At 42.9% G+C, this 25,828-nt stretch overlaps 1 long non-coding RNA gene across 1 annotated transcript in view, besides 3 other annotated features; it reads right to left on the bottom strand.

The window, feature by feature from the left end:
• Nucleotides 1–280: 280 nt before the first annotated feature.
• The window catches only part of CAND1.11 (uncharacterized LOC100130460), a 122,361-nt gene continuing 96,813 nt past the window's right edge, over nucleotides 281–25,828 (bottom strand). Inside the window, exons 3-4 of the long non-coding RNA NR_103765.1 lie at nucleotides 19,978–20,197; nucleotides 281–578 (exon numbers count right to left, since the gene is read on the bottom strand). This is a non-coding gene — a long non-coding RNA (uncharacterized LOC100130460). The remainder of the gene's footprint in view (nucleotides 579–19,977; nucleotides 20,198–25,828) is intronic.
• Nucleotides 14,680–14,893: a silencer, noted in NCBI's record as "fragment chr11:10437608-10437821 (GRCh37/hg19 assembly coordinates)". NCBI's record gives its function as "represses an EF-1alpha promoter that drives an FKBP-Casp9 reporter gene in an ReSE screen in K562 erythroleukemia cells {active_cell/tissue: K562}" and the evidence as "EXISTENCE:reporter gene assay evidence [ECO:0000049][PMID:32094911]".
• Nucleotides 21,136–21,636: an enhancer, noted in NCBI's record as "H3K27ac hESC enhancer chr11:10430865-10431365 (GRCh37/hg19 assembly coordinates)". NCBI's record gives its function as "activates a minimal SCP1, AML or CMV promoter by ChIP-STARR-seq in naive H9 embryonic stem cells {active_cell/tissue: H9 hESC(naive)}" and the evidence as "EXISTENCE:reporter gene assay evidence [ECO:0000049][PMID:30033119]".
• Nucleotides 21,637–22,137: an enhancer, noted in NCBI's record as "H3K27ac hESC enhancer chr11:10430364-10430864 (GRCh37/hg19 assembly coordinates)". NCBI's record gives its function as "activates a minimal SCP1, AML or CMV promoter by ChIP-STARR-seq in naive H9 embryonic stem cells {active_cell/tissue: H9 hESC(naive)}" and the evidence as "EXISTENCE:reporter gene assay evidence [ECO:0000049][PMID:30033119]".

The following is a 25,828-nucleotide window of genomic DNA, read 5'->3' as shown; positions in this document are numbered from 1 at the left end:
AAAATAGAAAGAAATAAGATCTAGAATTTGACAGTACAACAGGGTGGCTATCATTAACGATAATTTAATTATATATTTTAAATTACTAAAACTGTGTAATGGGATTGTTTGTAACACAAAGAAAGAATAAATGTTTGAGGTGATGATACTCCATTTACCCTGATGTGACTATTATACATTGTATGCACATATCAAAAGATCCTATATACCCCATAAACATATACACCTACTATGTAGCCACAAAAACTAAACATTAAAAAAACACTTTTAAGTTTAAATCTTAGCAGTCTAACCCAACAAAGGTTTATTTCTCACTCATGTCACCATCCAAGGCAGGTCAGGTAACTCCTGTGTGGCTTTCTCCAAGCAGTAAAGATGTTCCCATCTGGCAATTTAGGCATTTCAGAGCTCTTCACTTCTGGAGCCATAGAAAGGAGTGAAGAGGAGTGGCTGATAATGCAGCGGGGCCAGGGGGCGGGGGTGTTATTTCCAGGATAGAAAACGGCACAAAGTTTTCTGCTTACTTCTGATGGGCTACACATCACATAACTCCAAATCAACTGCAACAGAAATAGGGACTTTATAGGAACACATTGGTATTTGGTGATCACTAGTAGTCTCCACCACACCCCATTCCATAAACAAATCAAAATTTCACTTTGAAAGGGGAGAAGAGTGTCTAGAGTCAACTATTTTATGAATACAGGCCATGTAGGGTTCTAAGAAGCATCATGATTAAGTGGTTTTAGCTCTGGAGCCAGTCCATCTGGGTTCAAATCTTGGATCTGCTGTCTATTAATTATGTCACCTTAGGCATACTTAAGCCCTATAAGCTTCGGTTTCTTCATCTGTAAAGTGGGGATTAAATATTACCTACCTCCTAGGTTTATTGTCAACATGAAATGAGACATTTCAGTGCAGTACCTAGCATACATTAAATGTATAACAGATATAACCTATTATTAGCTAAAGAGCTAGAAAATAATGGGACATGAAATAAAACCATACAGATAATATTATAACTGTTAATGATATTTCCCTCTGCATACCTGATTGGAAGTGCTCTTGTCTGGGGGCTCTAAGCAGTGGCAGGAAACAGGAGGCAAGACAGATGAGGCGCTAATAGGCCTACTTATATGAGATGAACAGGCATCTGATAATGGTATTAGCTCTCAGAAGTGCATTAGTCCAGGCATGAGAATGCCCCCCTGAGGACTAAGAGAGGAGAGACTTAATTGAAGTTCAATTTAAATCTCAATCATATCCCTACTCACAGGAGAGTAGAGCTGCCTGCCTGGTGGCAAGAAGCTTGGACTCTACTTGGGCTGCCTCTGATATTTCAAACCACTCTGTAGATCTGCGAATCCCAGTGGGAGAGTCTAGAGGGAAAATGGCAAGTGTGAATCTTCCAGCACCATTCTGGGAAGCAGGACTAGGAGCTCTTGTTGTTGCCGCAGCTAAGAGGTGATACTACAAGGGGATCAGTGAGATAACGTAATTCATCTGAGCTGTGCACAGTCAATCTGCTGTCTGAATTCAGGGTCTTCATCCGAGAGATGATAGAGCCTAGTGGTTAAGAGCACAGGTTCCAGAGTCAGACTTGCTGAGTTCAAGTCCTAGCTCCTCCCTTGAGTTGATTGTGTGAATCTAAAGAAGTCACTAAGTCCTTCAAGCCTTAGATTATTCATCTGTAAACTGGGATTTGTATTATTGTCTTGGATGTCTTCTATTTGCCCTTCCATATGTGCTCTCATTCCTCTCTACCCTGACCTGTGTCCCAGGAGGATGGCCTATATGAACCACATCCAGGGACTCCTTTGCCCTCTGGCTTCTAGTTGCACCCATGAAATGGGAAGGTGGGAGGAGAGTGACATCTTGGTGCTTATTCCCCTGGTACCCACACCACTGGGTTGCTAAGGGTTGGTTATGACCCTCTCCCAGAGACTGAAACTACTTTCAGGCAGCCTTTTGACAGCTCTTTCCATAGGTTCCAGAAGCCACTACCTCCTCTTTCCCCTTCAGGCCTGGGATGGTAACAGCTCCCATACTCACTAGCCCCAAGATACTGCAACATCCTTTGTTGCTTTCCCTAAACTCTTCTCACTTAATCCCCTCATTAAATGCTCTTCAATTACCCACTTTTCAATGTGCCAAAGCCCTGAGTGATAGAATTGTGTGCTTGCAGTTATCTCCCTTTGAGTGACCAATCAGCTCACAGGGATTCCATTTCTCTGAGCACAGCTCCTATATAAACCTGAGAGAGCCTGGTGGCCATGCCTATGTTACAGGGTCCTTCAACCTGATTGGTCCAGGGATATACACCTGACCCAAGATAGGCCAATCAGATTCTCCCACCCTGAAACGTGGTATTTGGAACAGAGTGATAATAGGGGCTAGGAGCTAGCAGTGCTGCACCAGGTTTAACCCCAAATTCACCTCCTAAGGGGACAAGATCAGGCAAGAATGGGTTCTTGTCCTTCCAAGTTTTGATTGTTCAATCCTTCCTCTGACAGGGTATCCATTAGATACTCTATCATCCTTTCAATTCATTTGTTCTTTTCCTGACTAGCTAGATTTGGTTTCTGTTGCTTACAATCTAAAGAACCTCAACAGACTCAGCACCTCATGGAATTTTTATTAGATATATGTAGGGTTTTTAGCAAAGTGCTTAGTTTATGGCAAGCTCTCAATAATTTTTTACATTTATTATCTGTAGAAGTAGAGCTAATAATTGCCTCACAGGTTTTGTGACAATTAAATGAGTCTGTGCAGTATCTACTAAACCCTGATGGTCACACACAGAACTCACATCTGGAAAATTAAGTAGAGGTTCTGAATGAATCTCAATTGGTTCTAACGTCCTGCAAGAGGGATAATTTTAACAATGCCTCAGACTGATCAGCCCTGGAATGGACATGTTATTTGGTCTGCTTGTGTTTCTTCACTTAGAAATGGTTCTGCCCTTGCTTCCAAGGGAGACTTGTGGGACTGCCACTCAAGTAATAGGGAGGAAGAGGGGCAAATATGACAAGCTGGCCAGACAGAAGACCCATCCCCTGGACACAGGGATGTCCAAGATGCCCAAGCAATGAGCAGTTGGAGTCCTCTGAGGAACAGGGGGGGCTCTAGGAGGAGTCTCTTCTTCTGAGGTCACAAGCTTAAGGATTCTGAAAACCTGGAGTCTTTGAGATTCTTTCAACATGTGGGAAAAGTGTGCTAGGAAAGAAATTCATCATAGAGAGAAGCAGGCCCACAAGAGAGGAAAAGAGAGAAACAGATTCCTGGCAAAATTTTTGGGTTTCCTGAGCCAGCTACACTTAAAGCTGAAACCTAGAGTTTTCAGTTATGATCACCAATATATTTCCTTTCTTTCTATGTTGATTTGAGATGGATACCTGTTATGTGCAATTGAAATAGTCCTATTATATAAACCAATCTTCTGAAAAGTTTAGACACTGTCAGAGTTATTACCTTTGTCTTAACAAAAGCCCTGGGAAATAAGCGGGTACAGAAATTTTTCTTCCCATTTTTCTGGCAGAAAAAAAAAACCCTTATATTAAGAAACATATCCAAATTTACACAGCAAGTCAATGCACCAAAATGGCCAATGAGTCAGGGTCCTATCAGGGCCAATATCAGGGCCAAATTATTTATGGCTTTTGTGAGTCCCCAATACGTTTGTCTTTCTGAGCTCCTTCCTCCATAAAATAATACTTAAAATTATATTTTATGAATTCATGAGTATAAAGACAAATATAATCCAGTTTGGGTTCGTTGTTATATATTTTATATTCATTTTTTTCTATTTTTAAAAGAAATTAAAATTAATACTTTTTTATAGGGCTGGTCCCTAATGTGCCTACTAGATAAGCTGGCTTTCAGTCTTCTTTGCAAAAGAAATTAGAAGAGAGTATGGGGACGTGGTGTTTCAGAGGGAATCGGGGGCAAGGCCAATGGCAGCTCCACTGGAGAGATGTGAGGCTTGTGGTCCTGGGCCTAGCCGGGTCGCAGCAGCTGAGCTGGAGGTCAAGGATGCACTCCAGGAGAGTTCCATAAAAATATATCATCAGCTCCAACCTGATATTTGACCTAGCCATGGAAAACCTCATTGGCTCCTCACTAGATCAGAGCATAGCTGGCACTCTTAAAAACGCTTCCCATGAAAAAGTATCAGGAATGAAAATTTAAGATACATTCCTACCACTTCAAGATATTCTTATACGAGTCAACAGTCTAGCAGATCAGCTAGTCTCTTTCATCATCAAGCTGACATACTCGAGGCACCAACACAGCAAAGGGCACAACATGTCTCTCTATGAGTATTTTTTATACTATGTGTGTGACCCATTAGTGAGGCATGAAATTAATTCTGTGAGTCACAATAAACTTAAAAAAAAAAATAAATGTAGGTGGCTGGCAAGATGGTGGAATAGGAACAGCTCCAGTCTGCAGCTCCCAGTGAGATCAACACAGAAGGCAGGTGATTTCTGCATTTCCAAATGAAGTATCCAGCTCATCTCACTGGGACTGGTTAGACAGCGGGTGCAGCCCACAGAGGACAAGCTGAAGCAGGGTGGGGTGTCACCTCATCCAGGAAGTACAAGGAGTTGGGGAACTCCTTCCCCTAGTGAAGGGAAACCGTGAGGGACTGTGCCATGAGGAACGGTGCACTCCAGCCCAGATACTACACTTTTCCCACAGTCTTCGCAACCCAGGTGAGATTCCCTCGGGTGCCTACACCCCCAGGGCCCTGGGATTCAAGCACAAAACTGGGCAGCCATTTGGGAAGACACCAAGCTAGCTGCAGGAGTTTTTTCATACCCCAGCAGCACCTGGAACACCAGTGAGACAGAACCATTCACGCCCCTGGAAAGGGGGCTGAAGCCTAGGAGCCAAGTGGTCTAGCTCAGCGGATCCTACCTCCTCAGAGCCCAGCAAGCTAAGATCCACTGACTTGAAATTCTTGCTGCCAGCACAGCAGTCTGAAGTCTACCTGGGATGCTTGAGCTTGGTTGGGGGAGGGGCATCCACCATTACTGAGGCTTGAGTAGGCAGTTTTCCCCTCATAGTGTAAACAAAGCCACAGGGAAGTTTGAACTGGATGGAGCCCACCACAGCTCGGCAAAGCTGCTGTAGCCAGACTGCCTCTCTAGATTCCTCCTCTCTGGGCAGGGCATCTCTGAAAGAAAGGCAGCAGCCCTAGTCAGAGGCTTATAGTTAAAGCTCGCATCTCCCTGGGACAGAGCATCTGGGGGAAGCGGCGGCTGTGGGCGCAGCTTCAGCAGACTTAAACGTTCCTGCCTGCCAGCTCTGAAGAGAGCAGCAGATCTCCCAGCACAGCGTTTGAGCTCTGCTAAGGGACAGAGTGCCTCCTCACGTGGGTCCCTGACCCCTGTGCCTCCTGACTGGGAGACACCTCCCAGCAGGGATGGACAGACACTTCCTACAGGAGAGCTCCAGCTGACCTCTGGTGGGTGCCCCTCTGGGACGAAGCTTCCAGAGGAAGAAACAGGCAGCAATCTTTGTTGTGCTGCAGCCTCCATTGGTGATAACCAGGAAAACAGGGTCTGGAGTGGACCTCCAGCAAATTCCAGCAGATCTGCAGCAAAGGGGCCTGACTGTTACAAGGAAAACTAACAAACAGAAAGGAATACCATCAACATAAACAAAAAGGACGTCCACGCCAAAACCCCATCTGAAGATCACCAACATCAAAGACTGAAGGTAGATAAATCCACAAAGATGAGGAAAAATCAGTGCAAAAAGGCTGAAAATTCCAAAAACCAGAATGCCTCTTCTCCTTCAAAGGATCACAACTCCTCGCCCAGCAAGGGAATAAAACTGGATGGAGAATGAGTTTGACCAATTGACAGAAGTAGGCTTCAGAAGGTATGTAATAACAAACTCCTCCAAGCTAAAGCAGCATGTTTTAACCCAATGCAAGGAAGCTAAGAACTTTGAAAAAAGGTTAGACAAATTGCTAACTAGAATAATCAGTTTAGAGAAGAACATAAATGAGCTGAAAAACACAGCACAAGAACTTCGTGAAGCACACACAAGTAACAATACCCGAATCAATCAAGCGGAAGAAAAGATATCAGAGATTGAAGACCAACTTAATGAAATAAAGTGTGAAGATAAGATGAGAGAAAAAAGAATGAAAAGGAATAAACAAAGCCTCCAAGAAATATGGACCTATGTGAAAAGACAAAACCTACATTTGATTGATGTACCTAAAAGTGACAGGGAGAATGGAACCAAGTAGGAAAATACTCTTCAGGATATCATCCAGGAGAACGTCCCCACCCTAGCAAGACAGGTCAACATTCAAATTCAGGAAATACAGAGAACACCACAAAGATATTCCTCAAGAAGAGCAACCCCAAGACACATAATCCTCAGATTCACCAAGGTTGAAATGAAGGAAAAAATGTTAAGGGCAGCCAGAGAGAAAGGTTGGGTTACCCGCAAAGGGAAGCCCATCAGACTAACAGCAGATCTCTCTGCAGAAACCCTACAAGCCAGAAGAGAGTGGGGGCCAATAGTCAGCATTCTTGAAGAAAAGAATTTTCAACCCAGAATTTCATATCAGCCAAACTAAGCTTCATAAGCGAAAGAGAAATAAAATCCTTTACAGACAAGCAAATGCTGAGAGATTTTGTCACCACCAGGCCTGCCTTACAAGAGCTCCTGAAGGAAGCACTAAACATGGAAAGGAACAACCAGTACCAGCCACTGCAAACATACCAAATTGTAAAGACCATCGACACTATGAAGAAACTGTATCAACTGACGGGCAAAATAACCAGCTAGCATCATAATAACAGAATCAAATTCACACATAACAATACTAACCTTAAATGTAAACAGGCTAAATGCTCCAATTAAAAGACACAAACTGGCAAATTGGATGAAGAGTCAAGACGCATCAGTATTCAGGAGACTCATCTCACTTGCAAAGACATACATAGGTTCAAAATAAAGGGATGGAGGAATATTTACCAAGCAAATGGAAAGAAAAAAAAAAAAAGCAGGGGTTGCAATCCTAGTCTCTGATGAAACAGACTTTAAACCAACAAAGATCAAAAGCGACAAAGAAGGGCATTACATAATGTTAAAGGGATCAACGCAACAAGAAGAGCTAACTAGCCTAAATATATACGCACCCAATACAGGAGCACCCAGATTCATAAAGTTCTTAGAGACCTACAAAGAGACTTAGACTCCCACACAATAATAGGGGGAGACTTTAACACCCCACTGGCAGATCAACGAGACAGAAAATTAACAAAGATATTCAGGACTCAAACTCAGCTCTGGACCAAGCAGACCTAATAGACATCTACAGAACTCTCCACCCCAAATCAATAGAATATACATTCTTCTCAGTACCACATCACACTTATTCTAAAATAGACCACATAATTGGAAATAAAACACTCCTCAGGAAATGCAAAAGAATGGAAATCATAGCAAACAGTCTCTCAGACCACAGTGAAATCAAATTAGAACTCAGGATTAAGAAACTCACTCAAAGCTGCACAACTACATAGAAACTGAACAACCTGCTCCTGAATGCCTACTGGGTAAATAACAAAATTAAGGCAGAAATAAATAAGTTCTTTGAAACCAATGAGAACAGACACACAACATACCAGAATCTCTGGGACACAGCTAAGGCAGTGTTTAGAGGGAAATTTATAGCACTTAATGGCCACAGGAGAAAGCAGGAAAGATCTAAACTCGACACCCTAACATCACAATTAAAAGAACTAGTGAAGCAAGAGCAAACAAATTCAAAACCTAGCAGAAGACAAGAAATAACTGAGATCAGAGCAGCAATGAGATAGAGACACAAAAAACCCTTCAAAAAAATCAATGAATCTAGGAGCCAGTTTTTTGAAAAGATCAACAAAATAGATAGACCACTAGCCAGACTAATAAAGAAGAATAGACAGAAGAATCAAATAGAAGCAATAAAAAATGATAAAGGGGATATCACCATTAATCCCACAGAAATATAAACTACCAACAGAGAATACTATAAACACCTCTACGCAAATACACTAAACAATCTAGAAGAAATGGATAAATTCCTGGACACATACACCCTCTCAAGACTAAACCAGGAAGAAGTGAAATCCCTGAATAGACCAATAACAAGTTCTGAAATTGAGGCAGTAATGAATAGCCTACCAACCAAAAAAAGCTCAGAACCAGACAGATTCACAGCCAAATTCTACCAGAGGGACAAAGAGGAGCTGGTACCATTCCTTCTGAAACTATTCCAAACAATAGAAGATGAGGGACTCCTCCCTAACTCATTTTATGAGGCCAGCATCATCCTGATACCAAAACCTGGCAGAGGCACAACAGAAAAAGAAAATTTCAGGCCAATATCCCTGATGAACATTGATAGGAAAATCCTCAATAAAATACCAGCAAACCAAATCTAGCAGCACATCCAAAAGCTTATCCACCACGATCAAGTTGGCTCCATAGCTGGGATGCAAGGCTGGTTCAACATATGCAAATCAATAAATGTAATCCATCACATAAGCAGAACCAATGACAAAAAACACATGATTATCTGAATAGATGCAGAAAAGGCCTTTGATATAATTCAGCACCCCTTCATGCTAAAAACTCTCAATAAACTAGGTATTGATGGAACGTATCTCAAAATAATAAGAGCTATTTATGACAAACCCACAGGCAATATCATACTGAATGGGCAAAAACTGGAAGCATTCCCTTTGAAAACCGGCACAAGACAAGGATGCCCTCTCTCACCACTCCTACTCAACATAGTATTGGAAGTTCTGGCCAGGGCAATCAGGCAAGAGAAAGAAATAAAGGGTATTCAAATAACAAGAGAGGAAGTCAAATTGTCTCTCTTCGCAGATGACATGATTGTACATTTAGAAAACCCCATCATCTCAGCGCAAAATCTCCTTAGCTGATAAGAAACTTTAGCAAAGTCTCAAGACACAAAATCAGTGTACAAAAATCACAGGCATTCCTATACACCAATAATAGACAAACAGAGCCAAATCATGAGTGAACTCCCATTCTCAATTGCTACTAAGAGAATAAAATACCTAGGAATAGAACTTACGAGGGATGTGAAGGACCTTTTCAAGGAGAACTACAAACCAATGCTCAAGGAAATAAGAGACGACACAAACAAATAGAAAAACATTCCATGCTCATGGATAGCAAGAATCAATACCGTGAAAATGGCCATGCTGCCCAAGGTAATTTATAGGTTCAATGCTATCCCCAACAAGCTACCATTGACTTTCTTCACAGAATTAGAAAAAACTACTTTAAATTTCATTTGGAACCAAAAAAGAGCCCATATAGTGAAGACAGTCCTAAGCAGAAAGAACAAAGCTGGAAGCATCACACTACCTGACTTCAAACTATACTACAAGGCTACAGTAACCAAAACAGCATGGTACTGGTACTACAACAGACATATAGACCAACGGAACAGAACAGAGGCCTCAGAAATAAATGCCACACATCTACAGCCATCTGCTCTTTGACAAACTTGACAGAAACAAGCAATGGGGAAAGGATTCCCTATTTAATAAATGGTGTTGGGAAAACAGGCTAGCCATATGCAGTAAACTGAAAATGGACCCCTTCCTTACACCTAATACAAAAATTAACTCAAGATGGATTAAAGACTTAGATGTAGGACCTAAAACCATAAAAACCCTAGAAGAAAACCTAGGCAATACCATTCAGGACATAGGCATGGGCAACGACTTCATGTCTAAAACACCAAAAGCAATGGCAACAAAAGTCAAAATTGACAAATGGGATCTAATTAAACTAAAGAGCTTCTGCACAGCAAAAGAAACTATCATCAGAGTAAACAGGCAACCCTCAGAAAAAACAACCCCATCAAAAAGTCAGCGAAGGATATGAATAGGACACGTCTCAATAGAAAACATTTATGTGGCCAATAAACATATGAAAAAATGCTCATCATCACTGGTCATTAGAGAAATGCAAATCAAAACCACAATGAGATACCATCTCACACCAGTTAGAATGGTGATCATTAAAAAGTCAGGAAACAACAGATGTTGGAGAGGATGTGGAGAAATAGGAATGCTTTTACACTGTTAGTGGGAGTGTAAATTAGTTCAACCATTGTGGAAGACAGTGTGGCGATTCTTTAAGGATCTAGAACCAGAAATACCATTTGACCCAGTGATCCCATTACTGGGTATATACCCAAAGGATTATAAATCATTCTACTGTAAAGACACATGCACACGTATGTTTATTGCAGCACTGTTCACAATAGCAAAGACTTGGAACCAACCCAAATGCCCATCAATGATAGGCTGGATAAAGAAAATGTGGCACATATACACCATGGAATACTATGCAGCCATAAAAAAGGATGAGTTTATGTCCTTTGCAGGAACATGGATGAAGCTGGAAACCATCATTCTCAGCAAACTAACACAGGAGCAGAAAACCAAACACCACATATTCTCACTCATAAGTGGGAGTTGAACAATGAGAACACATGGACACAGGGAGGAGAACATCACACACTGGGGCCTGTTGGGGTGGGGGGATGGGGGAGGGATAGCATTAGGAGAAATATCTAATGTAGATGACGGGTTGATGGGTGCAGCAAATCAACATGGCATGTGTATACGTATGTAACAAACCTGCACATTTTGCACATGTATCCCAGAACTTAAAGTATAACTTAAAAAGTGTAAAATATCAAAGTGCTTTGCATGGATCCTTTGCCTGAATTGTGCATGTTGCAAGGAATAGTGAGGTCAATTTCAATATGTGAGAAAGGTATTTGATGGAGGGGATATGATGAATACAATGTATGTTGGCTAAGAAGTGGTTTTCAGTCATTTGCTCTTGGGTGTCTCGCTTGGTTTTCATATTAGCAAAGTGAATGTTGTGCAGTCAAGTTTTATATTACAATGACTTGAAACTGGAGATAGTCAACTGAGATTCAATTGCAAACTTTGAGTGTAGTTTTTGAAAAGATGTCATTTAAACTATATATATGTGTATTTTTTTCTTCTTTTTTGAGTTAGTACCAATTATACCATTTTAATCAAACTGGAAAAAATTGCTATTAAATGCATAATTTCTTTATTAAAAGAAAGAGGAATCATGAAATGAAATATACAGAAGCATGCTGAAGTTCATCTGTTGAATTTGGAAGTGTGAATAGTGACAATACTGAGAAAAATACAGACTCTAATCTGCAAACTGAAACTTCATTTGAGCCTCATTTCAAAAAGAAAAACTTAAGTGCAAGACGCTATTATGATTACTTAAAATATGGCTTTATCAAATGTGAAAAGCCCACTGAAAATGACAGACCTCAGTGTGTTATTTGTAATAATATTCTTGCAAATGAAAGCTTAAAACCTAAATTAAAAAGGCACTTAGAAATTCAGCATGCTGAACTTATTGATAAGCCTCTTGAATATTTTCGAAGAAAGAAAGAAGACATAAAATGATCAACACAATTTCTTAGTTGTTCTACTACTGTTAGTGAGAGAGCCGTATCATCATATTTAGTTGCATATCATGTGGCAAAAAGAACATAGCTAACACAGCTGCTGAAAAAATTATTCTTCCAGCATGTTTGGATACAATGCATATGATTTTTGATGAGAAATTAGCTGATAAATTAAAAACTATATCTAATGATAACACAATTATCTCTTTGGATTTGTAGTATTGCAGAACGTTTAGAAACAATGCTTATTACTCCATAACAGTCTGGTATAGATTTTGCAAAGCAGTGTGATGAAAGCACTGATGATATTGGCAGCTGCACAAGACATTCAGTTTATGTCCGATATGCGTGGAAAGATGATTTTATGGAGGGTCTTTTGTGTTTTTTAAGTTTAACCTCATACCCAAGTAGATTAGATATGTTTACAGGATTAGAAAGGCACAGAGTTGGTCAATATAAATTAAACTGGAAAAACTGTAAAGGAATTGCAGGTGACGTCACAGCAAAAGTAACTGGAAAACACAGCAGAGTCATTAAAAAATTACTAGAAGTGACTAATAGTTGTACTGTGTGGAATCATTGTTTTATACATCATGAAGGTTTAGCATCCAGAGAAATTCCACAGTATCTCATGGAAGTACTGAAAAATGCAGTGAAGTTGTCAGTTTTATTAAAGGAAACTCACTGAATAACCAGCTTCTTGAAACGTTTTGTTCAGAGATTGGAACTAACCATACCCACTTTCTGTGTCATACCAAAGTTCGTTGGTTGTCTCAAGGGAAAATACTAAGCAGGGTTTATGAGCTCAGGAATCAGATTGACTTTTTTTCTCATTGAAAAAAATCTCATTTGGCAAATATTTTTGAAGATGACATTTGGATAAAAAAATTGGCATATTTAACTGGTATTTTTGGTATTCTTAATAAACTGAATTTAAAACCACGGGGGAAAAACAGTGATGTATTCCAACATGTCAGACATATCCAGGGATTTCGAAAGACATTATTGTTATGGCAAGCAAGACTTACAAGTAACTGTCCTAGCTACTACGTTTCCAAGATTTTTGCAACATATTGAAGAGAATATTATTAATGGAAACATTTTGAAAGAAATAAAATTAGAGACATTGTTGAATCTCACTTCTCTATCTCAAATTTTTAACCATTTCTTTCCAGAAGAAAAATTTGAAACATTCAGGGAAAATAGTTGGGTAAAAGATCCGCTTGCGGCAAGGTGCCCTGGCTCACGCCTGTAATCCCAGCACTGTGGGAGGCTGAGGCGGGCAGATCACGAGCTCAGGAGATCAAGACCATCCTGGCCAACATGGTGAAACCCCGTCTCTACTAAAAATACAAAAATTAGCTGGGTGTAGTGGTGTGCGCCTCTAGTCCCAGCTACTTGGAAGGCTGAGGCAGGTGAATCACTTGAACCTAGGAGGCAGAGGTTGCAGTGAGCCGAGATCGTGCCACTGCAGTCCAGCCTGGCGACCGTCTCAAAAAAAAAAAAAAACAATCAGTTTGCTTTTTGAAACCCAGAATCAATAACTGGGCTTAGTTAATAACTGGTGCCTGAAGAAGAGAATGAATTATCTTAGTTTAGTTCTTCATATACATTGAAGAATGATTATGAGACCTTAAATTTATCAGCATTTTGAATTAAGGTAAAGGAAGACTTTCCTTTGTTAAGTAGAAAGAGTGTCCTACTATTACTACCATTCACAACAACTAGTTTGTGTGAACTAGGGTTTTCTATCTTAACTCAGTTAAAAGCAACAGAAAGGAATGGATCAAATGGTGCAGCAGCTATGTGGGTAGCATTATCTTCCTGTGTTCCAGACTGGAATGAACTTATGAACAGGCAAGCACACCCATCATAATAAATAAAATCTTATCTAGGTTTTGGTTTTGTATTTCTTATTTTGTAGTATTTTTCTATGTTATATTTAAATGGGAATATAACATTATATGTGATACTTTTGTTATGTTTTAATTTTTGTTGTATCTGATAAAATTATTTTATGTTTGCTTAAAAAAAGAAAGTATGGAAATGAGATAATACATGTGAATATACTAAAGTGCTCTGTTGACTGTAAATCATTGAACAAATGTAGTAACTATTACATTTATTTCTAAAAGGGTGCTCTCTGGAGGGTAATGGAGGTATGTGGTCAAGAAATAGTTAAAAGTCAAAACCCTAAGTGGCTACAGATGTTTAATGGTAGACCAGAAGGATGGGGAATCAATGACTTTTGGCAGTAAGGAGCCCTTTGTAGGTCAGCATCCACCCCTGCTGACCAGCCTGCTCCCATGATGTGGCCCAGCATGAGGCACAGCTGAGGAGAAGCCAATCCTGGGCACAGCTGGAGGCAGGCAGAGACCCTCACAGGTGTCTAGGCCATGCTCCTCAACTGGACAAGGCTGGTAGAAGCCACCTAGGGGGATCTGGGCCAAGGAAGAGCTTTAGAAACAAGGCTGGAAAGAGAGTTTTTATTCAGGTTGCCATAGGTGGAATAGAGCCAGCAGCACGGACCAAATGTCAGGTGCAAAAGACAAGGTGAAGCCAAACATGGAACAATGGCAGGTCAGGAACTGGCAGGATTAGGAACAAGCCAGAACACAGTGTGTGGAGCTGTCAGGTGATGTTCAGGTCCAAAGCTATCAAGCAAAGGATATTGAGACCCATGTTAGTGTCATGCTGGCTTTGTGACCCAAAGACAGTCCCTAGTATCTTAAGGAACCCATGCAGAGCCAAACATACTGGATAAAAATAAACTTCCTCAAAAACATGACTACTGGGCCGGGAGCAGTGGCTCACGCCTATAATCCCAGCAACTCAGGAGGCTAAGATGGCGGGATTGCTTGAGTCCAGGAGTTTGAGACCAGCCTGAGCAACATAGCAAGATGTCTATAAAATATTAAAAATCACCTGGGTCTGGTGGCACACACCTGTAGTCCTAGCTACTTGGGAGGCTGACGCGGGAAGATCACTTGACCCAGGGAGGTTGAAGCTGCAGTGAGCCATGATCACCACACTACTGCATCTGGCCTGGGTAACAGAACAAGACCCCATCTCTTAAAAAAAAAAACAGCTATTGAAAATTTTCTCCTTTATTGTGAGCTTTCAGCACCTGCTGATGGAGAGACTGAGAATTCCCCACTATTGATATTAAGACCCATTTTTTTTTTGAGACAGAGTCTCCCTCTGTCTTGCCCAGGCTGAAGTGCAGTGGCACCTCGGCTCACGGCAGCCTCTGCCTCCCGGGTTCAAGCGATTCTCCTGTCTCAGCTGGGATTACAGGTATGTGCCACCACACTTGGCTAATTTTGTATTTTTAGTAGAGATGAGGTTTCACCATGTTGGCCAGGCTTCTCTCGAACTCTTGACCTCAGGAGTCCTTGGCCTCCGAAGTGCTGGGATTACAGGCGTGAGCCACTGCACCTGGCCAAGACTCATTTTAAGCAAGCAAATCATTTCAATGCAGACAGTATGGCATGCAGACAGCTTGAGATGCAGAAGAAGACTTAGAAGCAAAACCAGACAATAAATGAAGAGGATGCTGACAGAATCAGGACAGAGATAATCTCCTGGACACATCTGGCTACAGCTGTCACAGTCCCCTAGAGAAGAGGGACTGGCATCAATAACTGAACAGCACTTCACCCTTTTTGTGATGATTTTGTGTCTATACATTTGCTTAATTCCACTTGTATAGTTCTCATCTCCTAGTGCCAGTATAGTCATTCTAGACTGACCTCTGTGTTGCCATTGTCTTTACAGAGTTCAGGAGAAAACAAAACACCATAAGAAATGCTTGTTGTTATTTAAACAAACAAACAAAAGATACCTAGGCCAGGTGGATTCCAACAGGTAGTCACTGTTTAGGTTCTGCTGCCCAAATGGAGCCAATCAGGTAACTGCTGTCCTTGCCCACTTGGCAAATGTAGAACAAGCCAGAACATTAAAAAACACAGCCTGAACATGCCTCATGGCTATGTGGGTGTGCCACATATTACACAAGGACATAAATTAATTAAGAAGCAAGGAAGGGACTTAGGACTGGGTGAGACATGAAGGAGTCCAAGAAACAGCAAGAACTCCAATCACTGAGAACATGACCTGGGAACCTGCCAGCCAACTGTGCCATCAAGTTAATAAGAATGTGTCGGCCGGGCGTGGTGGCTCACGCCTGTAATCCCAACACTTTGGGAGGCCGAGGCGGGTGGATTACAAGGTCAAGAGATCGAGGCCATCCTGGCCAACATGGTGAAACCCCGTCTCTACCAAAAATACAAAACTTAGCTAGGCATGGTGGTGTGCGCCTGTAGTCCCAGCTACTCCGGAGGCTGAGGCAGGAGAATCGCTTGAACCCAGGAGGCAGAGGTTGCCGTGAGCCGAGATCACACCACTGCACTCCAGCCTGGCGGCAGAACGAGACCCCATCTCAAAGGAAAAAAGAAAAGAGAGAAAGAGAGAACGTGTTGCTGAGAGATGCCAAGTCTCTGCAAGATGACTGAGCGTTTTTCTTGTGCCGCCTCTTTTCTAAGAAGCTAAAGAAGAGGCGATCACAGCTCCAGGACTGCAGGCACATCAGGAAGGAAGTGGGAGGTCCTGGGGAAGCCGCCACCAGGGCTTGGCCGGCTCATGCTCTTCTCAGGGCAGCAAGAGTTGAGGTTTAGGATGCTGAGGTTTCAAAAGTTTGGCTGACTCCAGCCTTCCTTAGTTCTGTAAAAATTCCACAGGAGTGCTGTGATCCCCCTGAAGCCTCCAGTCACTCCTAAAGGAAATTATTTTCAGGCACCTTACTCCCCTCTTTCCTCTCTTCCAGATGTTAAGTTTTAGCTCTCTTCTTTGTTCATAAATATGTTGCTATTTTTGTTTTTGTTGTTTTTCCCCAAACCAAAAACTTCAATAACCACAGAGAAACACAAAGAAAAGGAAACGGTGATAAATAGCCATTGCCCACACTCCAGCCCACACTCTTAGAGAGAATGTGCTCTTAACATCTGCTCCGAGCTAGACCACAGATTTTAGTTTTAACATGGAGGAAAAATAGGCTTCCTTAAAAAGAGCCACACAGGAACATCCTGTATGTCACAGTCCAGGAGCCTCCTACGCAAAAGGGAGCTGGAAGTCAGTGCCGGGTGCAAACGACATGCATCTTCCCTGTCTGATGGTCTCGGGGCCTCCCAGCCATTCTGAGTCCCACTCCTCACCATTGCACTTGACGGAGCTGGCTGACCACGTGGAAAATTACCCAAGGGCCATAAAAAAAAAATTTCCAGAAAGTTACAGAATGTCACAATGGAAAAGCTGTGCGGCTTGGGACAAAAGAATGGAGCAAAATCTTTGCAGAGCAACACGTACTGCACCTTTCCTGAGCTGTCCCACGCTCCCCACATCCACTGCCCCTGCCCTCACCTTTCCCTTCAATTTGTGCTTACTGACCCTTTATAAAATTAGGAGACTTTGTGTCATACTCTGGCCTAGAATGAAGCAAAAGTTCAAGAGACACGCTGTGGAATGCCTGTTCTACCCACATCCCCCTCTCCAGGGACTGTCTCTACTCCTAGTCCCTTTAGCTTAACTGGTCATTCATTCATTTATTGTACATGTATGTATTGAGCACCTATTGTATTCCAAGCACTGTGGTAGATAAAGATATGAAAAATGAGCAATGCAGACAAGGACCCTTTCTCATAGAGTCCATTTTTTAATGGGGAGAGTTAGCTGGTATGCAAGTAAACAAATAAAATAATTTTGGATAATGATACCTACTATGAATTTTTTAAGACAAGCAAAACAAAGTGATGTTCTAGAGCACGGGTCCCCAGGGCCATGAACCAGTACCTGTCCATGGCCTGTTAGGAACTGGGTGGCACAGCAGGAGGTGAGCTGTGGGCCAGCAAGCAAGTGAAGCTTCCTCTGTATTTACAGCCTCTCCTCATCGCTCACATTAGCACCAGAGCTCCACCTCCTGTCAGATCAGTGGTGGCATTAGATACTCATAGGAGCGCGAACCCTATTGTGAACTGCACATGGAAGAATCTAGGTTGTACGCTCCTTATGAGAATCTAATCCCTGATGATCTGAGGTGGAACAGTTTCATCCCAAAACCATTCCTGGAAAAATTGTCTTCCATGAAACCAGTCCCTGGTGCCGAAAAGGTGGGGGACCACTGTTCTAGCAAATGATTTGGGAGAAGGGGTTCCTACTTTAGATAAAATAGACTAAGAGAGCCTCTCTGAGAATGTATGAGCTTGCACCTGAATGATGAGGAGTTGTGGCTGCAGTAAGCATCAAGATTGTGGCTGCAGTCTTCCTTCTTGGGCAGAAGGAAGAACAAGTATAAAGGTCCTGGGGTAGGAATGGGAGATGACCAGAAAGGCCATAGTGGATTAAGCCTGTGTAAAAAAAAAAAAAAAAGGAGTTTAGGCTGGGCACAGTGGCTCACACCCATAATCCCAGCACTTTGGGAGGCCAGGAGTTCAAGACCAGCCTGGGCAACATAGTAAGACCAAATCTCTTTTTTAAAAAAAATTAGCCAGGTGAGGTGGGGTATGCCTGTTGACTTAGTTACTTGGGAGGCTGAGACAGGGCCTGGGAGTTTGAGGCTGCAGTGAAACATGATGAAGCTGCTGCACCCCACCCTGGGCAATAGTAAGACCTCATCTCTAAAAAGAAGAGAAAGAGTTTGCAGAGGAGCAGAGGCCTTGGTAAGAAGTGTGAAATTTATTTTAAGGCAACAGGAAATCACTGGAAAATTTTAAACAAAGGAGTGGCATAACCTGATAGACATGTTTAATGGAATCATTTGGCTACTATGCGGAAGGTGGATCCTTGGAGGGCCATAGTGGAAGCCAGGAAACCACTCAGGAGTCAACTGGAATAGCCCAGGCAACACATGATGGTGGCCTTGACAGGAGCAGTCAGTCAGCAGTGGCAATGGAGAAGCAGACTCACTAATCATATATCATGGAGGCACCGACAGGGCTTGCTGACATAGTAAATGGGAAAGGAGAAAGGAAGAGCAGAGTGAAGCATGATCCTGAGTTTTGGCCTTCAGCCACTCAGTGTATGAGCATGACTTTGATGGGAAATACTAAGAAGGAACTGGTTTGGCGGTGAAAATCAAGAGTTCAGGTTTGCCCAGTTAAGTTTAAGATGCTATTAGGCATCCAAATGGAGATGTCTGGGAGAAGTAGATAGTTGAGATTCAGGGAAGCTATCAAGGCTGCAGATAAATATGTGAGAGTCATTGGTATATAGAAAGTATTTAAAGCCCTAGGACTAGATGAGATCAGCTAGGGAAAGTGTATAGATAGAGAAAAGAAGAGGACCAAAGAAAGAGTCCATGGGAATTCCCAGAAGAGGAAGATATAGCAAGAGAGGGTGAAGCATGCTCAGTGGATGTAGCAGACAAATCAGAAGCATGTGTTATCATGAAGGTCAAAAGAAGCAAGTTTTTCAAGAGTGGTCAAGTGTGTGGAATGCTGCTGAGAGACTGAGTATTATGAAGACAGACAGCAAAGTGACCAAGAGATTTGGCAACATGGAAATGGTGGTGTCCTTGACAAGAACAGCTTCAAAGGACTGATGGAGCTGAGAGAATGTGTTGAACAGTGACTAGGATTTCTAATGAAACATGGGGGTGTAAACACATGTGGTATGTCCATTCCATCCTGACACCCACTAAAGTAAAAGTAATGAAATTTTGTTAAAAAAGAAAAAGAGTGAGCCCACAAGAGCAAAGAGAATGGCATGAACATGACAGAGGACAAGAGAAGTCAATAATTATTGGAAGAGGTAAGAAGCTGGATGATAACCAGCTTAGCAAAGCAGAGAGAGCTGAAACCAAAGTGAATGCAAAGAGAAATGTTAGCAAGAAGCAAGCAAATTCCGACCACCGACCCCACAAAGCCTCATGCATTGGAGCCAGGGTGAAAAATGGGGCTGAAAACAGGTGGATAGGGCAGAAGTCTTTATAAGAAAGTGTTTCTACCCCAGTCCTCCTCCCAACTCTGCACTGCCTGGAAACTATCCTGGTAGGCCATAGATAATTTCATCTCCAGAGAAACTGATCCAGAGACACTCAAGGATAAGCGATACCTGGCAAAGAGGAAGTTAAAGGTGAAGCACTGTCCTGAAAGCAGGGAAATTAAGTGAAATCTACATATGGGATGGTGAGACCCTCCCACCTTCCCCAGCTCAGCAGCCAGCCCTGTTGACAGCCCTCTCTGGAGGGGACTTAGGGGCTGTGGGTTACTCCCACTCTGGCTGGTAGCAAAGTTAGCCATGTACAGGCAGAGGAAGCCAATCAAGATGAGAGGAGAGAGAATGTAGTAAAGAAGAAAGATGCTGCTGTCCCTGGGAGATGTGGACAGCTTTGGGTGCTGGCCTCAGGCCAGGAGCAGATAGCCCTTCCAATCACATGACCTGGTGCATGCTCACAATACCTTTTCCTTGAGCCGCTTGAGTAACTTCCAACCTCCTAGGCAGATGATAGCAAAGGCTGGAGGCATCCAGAAGAAGGCTGATTTTCCAGACCTTGTCCAAGCTCCACTTGCAGTGCTCTCGGTATTTGTTATGCAGAGGTGGCCAACTGAGCTTCAGACTTCCCTTTCCCCCAGGGACTCCAGAATGTCCAAGAAGAGCCCATCTACAGGTCTGAAGGTTCTAGAAAGGCAAGCAGTGGTCCCACATCATAGAAGGCCAGGCTGTTAGGCAATATCTTGTGTAGCTACCACATGTTACAGATAGGGAAGGTAAACCCGGAGGCGTTAAGCCATTTGCCTAAAGTCACGGAGCTTTATTATCTAAAGAACTGGTTAAAGGTAAACTCCAGTCTCTTGACTTTCAGCCCCTAACTCCACTACCCCACATTGCCTCCCACTAGACTTGATTGATTTGAAACATGGGGCTGTGCCCAAAGACGACTTGGACAGGTGAGATTTGGTTATTTCCATGGCACTACTGAAATCAAAATACTAAAGCATGAAACTCTAGATTCACTATTGTGTAGCAGGTAACATGCTGAATGCAGAGCCCAGCAATGTGGGTTCCAGTCCTACCCTTACCTCCTTGTTCTGTGTTATCACATAGGCAAGTTGCTGACGCACCCCTCCAGACCTTGTTTTTCTCATTCGTAAAATAGAGACAAAGTGACAGTGCTAAGGGCAGAAGAAAGAACACGAATTCCAAGGGTCTGAGAGCATCGCCTAAATATGCCTCTAAAACTGGAAATTTCTCTCCAGGCTCCCTATTTCCTTAAATATATATCTATGCAAATTCAGTATTTTACTCCTATATGTATATTTGTTTTAATATAAACATAGGTGGGGGTGCTATTCCCCACCAATGTTCACGTCAAATTGATGCTCCAGGAAGATGACCCATATTTGTCCTAACTTTGTTTGTCCTTCATATAACCTGATGCTAAAAGGTCTCCTTTTAATGTCCTTTGTGAAGAAAAGAATACATGCATTAAAGACTCAAGCAGCAGTGTCAGCTTAGGCCAGGGCCTCGCTGTTGTTGTCCAGCCCACCATTTCTCCAAGACCTTGCAGGTGCCTCACACAATCCACAAAACACTGGGGCCCAGGGAGATCCCCTTCCTTCCACCCAAAATTGCCCTTTCCCAAAGCAATTATCCTTTGCCACCCACAGCAGACAAAATCTGAGAGTTGAAATTCCTTCTTATAAGAACCCAGGAGAGTTGTGAGTTTGAGTCTCCGGTGCTCTGTGATCAGTCCCCAGGGATGCCAAGGGAGCTCTCACATGCCTGTTGGGCATAGCTCTCCCTGGGAGGCATGGGAGGCATCTAGCTTCTCTCCATCCTGCCCAGGAAGGGAGGGCCCCACAGGAAACCCACATCTCACTCCCCCTGCCCTCTGCTTCCTGCTGTCTCTGCCCCTGCCCCATGTCAATGCTCCTGCCAAAGTCCATTTCTGTAACCTGACCTTGTCCCTGAGTCCATCTCCATCCCTCTCTGCCCTGTGGTGTTACAGAACACCCTCCTTGGTCCCCATCCCACTCCACCCCTCGGATTCCTTGTTAGTAAACATGACAAAATGTTCTCCAGCGTAGCAACAGGCAGGCATCCTCGGTGGCTGAGGGCCCCTGAGGACAGGGCAGGAGGGACTGGCTACAGCTCCCAGTTTCTAGCCAGGCCTGGGCAGATTCCACTAGTGAGCTGCTGATTTAATTCCAGACAACAAATGTTATCAAGGCCCACTCTGGGCCCAGCCCTGCACTAGGTCCAGGAGGGGCAGCTATGAAGCACACACAGCATGGCACAGCCCCTGGGTTGGGGTGCAGGCCTGAGAACCCATAATTACAATCTGTGGGTTACACAGATAAGATGCCTGGTGAATGGAGAAGGGCAGAGGGAGTGAGGGAAGGGAGCAGCTATGCTGACACTCAGAATTCCAAGAGCCACACCTTTCCCTAAGTCCTCCACCCTCAGGACCCCCCACACTAAATACATGAGTTGGCAAGCGATGCCCCAACAGCCGAATTAGGCCCACCACCCACTTTATGAGGAAGATGAGCTAAGAATTGTCTACATTTTTTAGGCCGGGCGCAGTGGCTCCCAGCCTAAAAACCCCGTCTCTACTAAAAATACAAAAATTAGCCAGGTGTGGTGGTGTGTGCCTGTAATCCCAACTACTCAGGAGGCTGAGGCAGGAGAATTGCTTGAACCTGGGAGGCAGAGGTTGCAGTGAGCTGAAATCATGTCACTGTGCTCCAGCCTGGGCAACAGAGCAAAACTCTGTCTCAAAAAAAAAAAAAAATTGTCTTTACATTTTTAATGGTTGAGAAAAAAATCTAAAGAAGAATATTTTGTGACACATGAAAATTACATGAATTCCAATTTTGCCACCCATAAATTAAGTTTTCTTGGAACATGACCACATTTATTCATTTACCCATTGTCCTTGGCTGCTTTTCCACTGCAATGGCAGAGTCGAGTAGTTGTGACAGACACCATATGATCCTACGAACCTCAGACATTTACTATCTAGCCCTTTACAGAATAGTTCGCCAACACTTGCTCTAGACCAAAGCCCAGAAAGGGAATTTAAGACCCATCTGGCTGACCACTCTCAACTTCTCTTCCCATCCCGCTCCATTTCTCCTTGCACTGCCCCCGCCACTGCCCTCCACTCTCCACCATCTCCTGTCCTCCCTCCTTCTTCCTCCCACAATTCCCTGGGACCAAGAAATGGGTGCTTATTTGCTTCCTTTATGTCAGATCCTCCCCCTTTCTACTCTAGCCTCATGAGAAAGCCTTAGGGACAGGCACAGGTACCTTCCCTAGGCCAGAGCTTCCCCGTGGAAGTGCTTCAGATGGGCCACAGGCATGCAGCACAATGGTGATGCCCTCGGTCCTCAGGTGAGAGGGCAGCCAAAGTGCACAGGCTGGGTACCTCTAAGGAGAACCTCACCTACAGCTCCTTGGAGGGCAGCCAAGAGTGGGCCCCATCAAACAGCAAGGACAGTGATCTCATCCCAAGCGGCGAGGACACGTCCTTTGGCAGCTTGCTGCATAGTGTGCCACTCCCACATGGACAGAGCCAGAAACCCACTGGAGGAGTGTGTGTCCCTTGCGTCGGGTGAGCACAGAGCACAGACCAAGAGGGATGGGGCCGGGGGCAAGGAGAGCAGGAGGGAGCTTCTGGCAGCCACAGTAGAAATGGCAGCCCTGAATCTGTCTTCACGCCTATGTACAGAAACCATAAAATTCATTGTCCAAAATAGTATACTTTCTTTTTTTAAATCGACTTTAATGAGGTATAATTTACATATAATGAAATGCATCTATTTTAACTATATAGTACTATGAGTTTCTGCAAATGTATACATGGGTGATCCACCAGTGTCACCACTACCATGATCAAGATACACAATGTTGTCATTACCCCCCAAATGCCCCATATGCCCCACTGCAGTCACTCACCCCCACCACTGCCTGAGACAACTACTCATCTGTCTTCCATCACTACAAATTAGTTTTGCCTATTCTAGAATTTCAAATAAATGGAATCATACAGCATGTACTTTTTTGTGTCTGGCTTCTTTCATTCTGGGCAATGTTTCGAGATTCATCCACACTGTGTATGAACACCAAACTGGCACGCTTCTTGTTTGTTTTTTAGCAAAGGGAAGTGCTCTGGATAGTCATGTCATGTCAGAAGAATGAATCAGAGCCCTTCAGGACAAATCAGGACAACAGTCACTCGATGTATATGGGCTGTTCCTGTCTTTCTCAGTAGATGAGCCTCTTTAGTCACCTCCACACTGCCTGCAGGATATCTGATGTAAAATTGCATGTGTATTCTGCAGATTAGGGCTTCACCATTACCTAAGTGCACTAGAATCCAAAAGGTTTGAAGGGTGCTAAATCCAATGCTCATCCCAAAAAATTTCAATACCACATTTGTTGTTTGAAAAAAGAAAATGCCGTTATAGTCTCTATATGATTTCAACTGGTATATATTTTTTAACAGGTGCAAAATTGTTTTTAACTTTTTATCACCAATCTGTACAAACAAATTTCCTGTTAATGATGATTATGGGTACAATGTACACTATTCAAGTGATAGTTACAGGAAAAGCCCAGACTTCACCACTTTGCAATATATCCATGTAACAAAATGGCACTTGTACCCACTAAATCTATAAACATTTAAAAATTAGAAACAAATGAAATTTGAAAAAAGAATGAAGAAACCCTTAAAAATCTTGATCAGAAATTCCATGTAGCCATTTCAAGCCTAAAACTACATAAAAAAGACATGTTAATTTGAAGCAAGCTCATGTTTAACAATAAAATATTTAAATGATTTTCTTTAGAATATTATATAAATTCAACATTTAATATTTTGTTTTGTATATTATTGTAATAATATAACATGAAGAAAATGTGAATTTTTTTCACTAGCTCCCATGTAGGCATTCCCAAATCCCCTTTAGCTGACCCCAGTGTGCCACACGCATATTCTCACTTTCTAAGCGTGTTGTGAACAGGGAAGCATTAGTCAGCACTGCCCCCACACTATGGGAGAAGCCAGTACCCTGGGCTAGGACGCATGTTTCTTGCTAAAGAGACCTCTCCTGCCCTCTAGTGATAATTTTTGTAGCTGGATCTCAGAGGGAAAACAGTGATGTAATGAGTAATTAAATATATCTGTTTTATATTTGCAAAATTGCCATCCCTGTCACATGCATTATAGCTATCTTGGGTCCTGACAGATAAAAACTTTCACAAGCATCCCTCTGTTGCTCCCTGGTGCCTGGGAGGTCGAGCCTGTGGCTTCTCTTCCATGATTCCACCTCTCCTCTCTGCCCTCATCTTCTCCACCCCTGTGGCACGGCAAAGTCTCCACCATCCCCAGCCAGTGACACCACCCTTGCCATCACCTAGGACCAGTGGCCACTGAACCCCCTTCCCACCCTTACCAGATGCAAGGACTGTAGTGGTGGAGAGGGGAGCATGGGCCTGGGAAGCAAACACCTAATTGTTCATTGTACAACAATTTGTTATCAACCGACAAACTCCAGGCATTCAGAAAATTTGGGATTCCCTTGGCACACAGAGGGAAAGGGGGGCAGCTGTACCATAAACGCTTCCCATACCCCTTGTCTCTGTAGAAACCCAGCCTTTTATCCCCAAGCAGCAGCACTTAGCAAGTGGTCACACAAGAGGGAAGGTAAAATCACCACCCATCAACTAAAGGATGAAGTATCTGTTTGAGTTATCAGTATACAGTCACAGAAGTGAAAGATACATGCATGAAAATTAGAACATATCAAAGTTGAGGATCACCTATGCAAACAACAAAAAAGTCGTTGAGAACAGCTGAATTTTCATCTGAAATGAGAACTATAGAATATTTACTATTGAGGTAATTTCTGTTCTATTGAGTAGAAATCCAGCAAACAACAATCTATTTTTTTTTTTTTTTTTTTTTTTTTGAGATGGAGTTTCACTCTTTTCACCCTGGCTAGAATGCAATGGTGAGATCTTGGCTCACTGCAACCTCCACCTTCCAGGTTCAAGCGATTCTCCTGCCTCAGCCTCCCAAGTAGCTGGGATTACAGGTGCCCACCACCATGCCCAATTAATTTTTGTATTTTTTGTAGAGACAAGGTTTCACCATTTTGGTCAGGCTGGTCTCGAACTCCTGACCTCAAGTGATCCACCCGCCTTGGCCTCCCAAAGTGCTGAGATTACAGGCATGAGCCACCAAGCCCGGCCACTAACTACAATTCTATATATAGTTGGCCCTCCATCTCCAAGAGTTCC

This window comes from Homo sapiens, chromosome 11 (assembly GCF_000001405.40).
Source record: "Homo sapiens chromosome 11, GRCh38.p14 Primary Assembly".
In the NCBI taxonomy this organism is placed as follows: domain Eukaryota; kingdom Metazoa; phylum Chordata; class Mammalia; order Primates; family Hominidae; genus Homo; species Homo sapiens.
Note: the sequence above shows the minus strand (reverse complement) of the source record. Positions and strands in the feature narration are given on the sequence as shown.